The 5187-nt window shown below is 37.0% G+C and overlaps 1 annotated feature.

Annotated features, from left to right (window-relative positions):
* Positions 3895 to 4396: an enhancer, noted in NCBI's record as "NANOG hESC enhancer chr11:55019280-55019781 (GRCh37/hg19 assembly coordinates)". NCBI's record gives its function as "activates a minimal SCP1, AML or CMV promoter by ChIP-STARR-seq in naive H9 embryonic stem cells {active_cell/tissue: H9 hESC(naive)}" and the evidence as "EXISTENCE:reporter gene assay evidence [ECO:0000049][PMID:30033119]".

Genomic DNA, 5187 nt, shown 5'->3' on the forward strand with positions numbered 1-5187 from the left:
TTACTTTTTCACCATAGACCTCAATGTGCTCCAAATGTCCACTAGCAGACTCTACAAAAGGAGTCTTTCAAAACTGCTCTATCAAAAGAAATGTTCAACTCTGTTATTTGAATACACACGTCACAAAGAAGTTTCTGAGAATGTTTCTGTCTAGTTTTTATGTGAAGACATCATGTTTACAACAAAGGTCTCAAAGCTGTCCAAATATCCACTGGCAAATTCTACAAAAAGAGAGTTTCGAAACTACTCTTTCAAAAAGAATATTCAACTCTGTGAGTTGAATGCATATATGAGAAAGAAGTTTCTGAGAATGCTTCTGTCTAGTTTTCATGTGAAGATATTTCGTTTTCACCATAGGCCTCAAAGTGCTCCAAGTGTCCATTTGCTGATTATACAAAGAGATTGTTTCAATACTGCTCTATCAAAATACAGGTTCAACTCTGTGAGTTGAAAGCACACATCAGAAATTAGTTTCTGAGAATGCTTATGTCTAGTTTTTAAGTGAAGACATTTCCTTTCTCAACAAAGGCCTCAAAGCGCTCTAAATGTCCACTTGCAGATTCTACAAAAAGAGAGTTTTGAAACTGCTCTTTCAAAAGGAAGGTTCAACTCTGTGAGTGGAATGCACGCATCACAAAGAAGTTTCTGAGAATGCTTCTGTCTAGTTTTTATGTGAAGATACTCCCGTTTCCAAAGAAGGCCTCAAAGCAGTCGGAAAATCCACTTGCAAATTCCGCAAAAACAGTGTTTTGAAACCGCTCTATCAAAGGGAATGTTCAACTCTGTGAGTTGAAAGCAAACATCGCAAAGAAGTTACTGGGAATGGTTCTGCCTAGTTTTTATGTGAAGATATTTCCTTTTACACCCTAGGCCTCAAAGCACTCCAAATGTCCAGTTGCAGATTCTACAAAGAGATTATTTCAATACTGCTCTATCAAAAGAAAGGTTCAACTCTGTGAGTTGAATGCACACATCAGAAAGTAGTTTCTGAAAATGCTTCTGTCTAGTTTTTCTGTGAAGACATTTCCTTTTACACCCTAGTCCTCAAAGTGCTCCAAGTGTCCGTTTGCAGATTCTACAAAGAGATTCTTTCAATACTGCTCTATCAAAAGAAAGGTTCCACTCTGTGGGTTGAATGCACACATCAGAAAGTAGTTTGTGAGAATCCTTCTATCTAGTTTTTCCATGAAGATATTTTCTTTTTCACCATAGGCCTCAAAGCTCTCCAAATATCCACTTGCAGATTCTACAAAAAGAGTGTTTCAAAACTGCTCTATCAAAAGAAATATTCAACTCTGTGAGTTGAATGCACTCATCAAAGAGAAGTTTCTGAGAAAGATTCCCTCTAGTTTTTATGTGAAGATATTTCCTTTTTCACCGTAGGCATCAAAGTGCTCCAAATTTCCACTAGCAGATACTTCAAAAAAAGTGTTTCAAAACTCCCCTATCAAAAGAAATGTTCAATTCTTTTAGTTGAATGCACACGTCACAAAGATGTTTCTGAGAATGCTTCTGTCTAGTTTTTATGTGAAGATATTTCCTTTTCACCATAGGCCTCAAAGCGATCAAAGTGTCCACTTGCAGATTCTACAAACAGAGAGTTTCAAAACTTCTCTACCAAAAGAAAGGTTCAACTCTGTGAGTTGAATGCACACATCACAAAGAGGTTTTGAAGAATGCTTCTGTATAGTTTTTATGTGAAGATATTCCCATTTCCACCGAAGGCTTCAATGTGCTCTAAATATGCAGTTGCAGATTCTACAAAAAGAGAGTTTCATAACTGCTCTATCAAAAGGAAGGTTCCACTCTGTGAGTTGAATGCACACATCACAAAGAAGTTTCTGAGAATGCGTCTGTCTAGTTTTTATGTGAAGATATTCCCATTTCCACTGTAGACCTCAAAGCTCTCCAAATATCCAATTGCAGATTCTACAAAAAGAGTGTTTCAAAACTGCTCTATCAAAAGAAATGTTCAACTCTGTGAGTTGAATGCACTGATCACAAAGAAGTTTCTAAGAATGCTTCTGTCTACTTTTTATGTGAAGACATTCCCTTTTCCACAGAAGGCCTCAAAGCAATGCAAATATCCACTTGTAGATTCTACAAAAAGAGTGTTTCAAAACTGCTCTATGAAATGGAATGTTCAACACTTTCAGTTGAATGCAAAGATCACAAAGAAGTTTCTTAGAATGCTTCTGTTTACATTTTATGTGAAGATATTTCCTTTTTCACCTTAGGCATTGAGCGCTCCAAATGTCCACTTGCAGATTCTATGAGAAGTGATTTTCAAAACTGCTCTATCATAAGAAAGGTTCAACTCTGTGAGTTGAATGCACAAATCACAAAGTAGTTTCAGAGAATGCTGCTTTCTAGTTTTTATGTGAAGTTATTCCCATTTCCACCGAAGGCCTCAAAGTGATCCAAATATCCATTTGCAGATTGTACAAAAAGAGTGTTTCAAAACAGCTCTATCAAAAGAATTTTTCAACTCTGTCAGTTAAATGCAAGCATCAAAAAGTAGTTCCTGAGAATGCTTCTGTCTACTTTTTATATGAAGATATTTCCTTTTCTACTAAAGGCCTCAAATCACTCAAAATATCCACTTGCAGATTCTACAAAAAGAGTGTTTCAAAACTTCTCTATCAAAAGGAATTTTCAACTCTGTGAGTTAAATGCACACATCACAAAGAAGTTTCTGAGAATGCTTTTATGTGAAGTTATTCCCGTTTCCAATGAAGGCATCAAAGCCATCCAAATATCCACTTGCAGATTCTATAAAAAGAGTGTTTCAAAACTTCACTATCAAAAGGAAGATTCAACTCTCTGAGTTGAATGCACACATCACAAAGAAGTTTCTCAGAATGCTTCTGTCTAGTTTTTATATGAAGATATTCCCGTTTCCACCATAGGTCTCAAAGTGCTCCAAATATGCATTTGTAAATTCTACAAAAAGAGTGTTTCAAACTGCTCCATCAAAGGGAAGGTTCAACTCTGTGAGATGAATGCACACATCACAAAGAATTTTCTGAGAATGCTTCTGTCTAGTTTTTATGTGAAGATATTCAAGTTTCCAAAGAAGACCACAAAGCCCTCCAAATATCCACTTGCAGATTCTACAAAAACAGTGTTTCAAAACTGCTCCATCTAAAGGAGGGTTCAACTTTGTCAGTTGAAAGCAAGCGTCCCAAAGAAGTTTCTGAGAATGCTTCTGTGTAGTTTTTATATGAAGATCTTTCCTTTTCTACCATAGGCCTCAAAGCGCTCCAAATATCCACTTGCAGATTCTACAAAGGAATGTTTCAAAACAGCTTTATCAAAAGGAAGGTTCAACCCTGTGAGTTGAATGCACACATCACAAAGAATTTTCTGAGAATGCTTCTGTCCAGTTTTTATGTGAATATATTCCCATTTCCCCCAAAGGCCTCAAAGCGCTCCAAATATCCACTTGCAGATTCTACAAAAAGAGTGTTTCAAAAGTGCTCTATCAAAAGGAAGGTTCATCTCAGTGAGTTGAATACACACATCACAAAGAAGTTTCTGGGAATACTTCTGTCTGCTTTTTATGTGAAGATTTTCCCGTTTCCACCGAAGGCCTCAAAGCACTCCAAATAACCACTTGCAGATTCTACAAAAAGAGTGTTTCAAAACTGCTCTATGAAAAAGAAGTTTCAACTCTCTGAGTTGAATGCAAGCATCACAAAGTAGTTTCTGAGAATGCTTCTGTGTATTTTTTATATGAAGATAATTCCTTTTCCACCTTAGGCCAAAAAGCGCTCCAAATATCCACTTGCAGATTCCACAAAAAGTGTGTTTCAAAACAGCTCTATTGAAAGGAAGGTTCAACTCTGTGAGTTGAATGCACACATCACAAAGAAGTTTCTGAGAATGCTTCTGTTTCGTTTTCATGTGAAGATACTGCTGTTTCCACCGAAGGCCTCAAAGCCATCAAAATATCCACTTGCAGATTCTACAAAAAGAGTGTTTCAAACCAGCTCTATCAAAAAGAAGGTTCAACTCTGTGAGTTGAATACACACATCACAAAGAAGTTTCTGAATATGCTTCTGTCTAGTTTATATGGGAAGATATTCCCGTTTCCACTGTAGGCCTCAAAGTGTTCCAAATATCCACTTGCAGATTCTACAAAAAGAGTATTTCAAAACTGCTCTATCAAAAGGAAGATTCCACTGTGTGAGTTGAATGCACACATCACAAAGAGGTTTCTTAGAATGCTTCTGTCTAGTTTTTATGTGAAGATGTTCCCGTTTCCATTGAAGGCCACAAAGCTCTGTAAATATCCACTTGCAGATTCTACAAAAAGAGTGTTTCAAAACTGCTCTATCAAAAGGAAGTTTCACCTCTCTGATTTGAATGCACACATCACAAAGGAGTTTCTGAGAATGCTTCTGACTAGCTTTTATCTGAAGATATTCCCATTTCCACCGAAGGCCTCAAAGCGCTCCAAATATCTACTTTCAGATTCTACAAAAAGAGTGTCTCAAAACTGCTCTATCAAAAGGAATGTTCCACTCTGTGAGTTGAATGCAAGCATCACAAAGTAGTTTCGGAGAATGCTTCTGTCTATTTTTTATATGAAGATATTTCCTTTTCTACCATAGGCCTCACAGCACTTCAAATATCCACTTGCAGATCCTACAAAAAGAGTTTTTCAAAACTGCTCTATCAAAAGGAAGGTTCAACTCTCTGAGTTGAATGCCCACATCACAAAGTAGTTTCTGAGGATGACTCTCTCTTGTTTTTATGTGAAGATATTCCGGTTTCCACCGTAGGTCTCAAAGCGCACCAAATATCCACTTGCAGATTCTACAAACAGAGCGTTTGAAAACTGCTCTATCTAAAGGAAGTTTCAACTCTGGAGTTGAATGAACACATAACAAAGAAGTTTCTGAGAATGATCCTGTCTAGTTTTTATGTGAAGATATTCCCGTTTCCAACGAAGTCCTCAAAGCCCTCCAAATATCCGCTTGCAGATTCTACAAAAGGAGTGTTTCAAAACTGCTCTATGAAAAGCAAGGTTCCACTCTGTGAGTTGAATGCAAGCATCACAAAATAGTTTCTGAGAATGCTTCTATCTAGTTTTTATTTGAATATATTCAGTTTCCAATGAAGGCCTCAAAGCGCTCCAAATATCCACTTGCTGATTTACAAAAAGAGTGTTTCAGAACTCC

Source organism: Homo sapiens, chromosome 11, assembly GCF_000001405.40.
Source record: "Homo sapiens chromosome 11, GRCh38.p14 Primary Assembly".
Classification (NCBI taxonomy): Eukaryota; Metazoa; Chordata; class Mammalia; order Primates; family Hominidae; genus Homo; species Homo sapiens.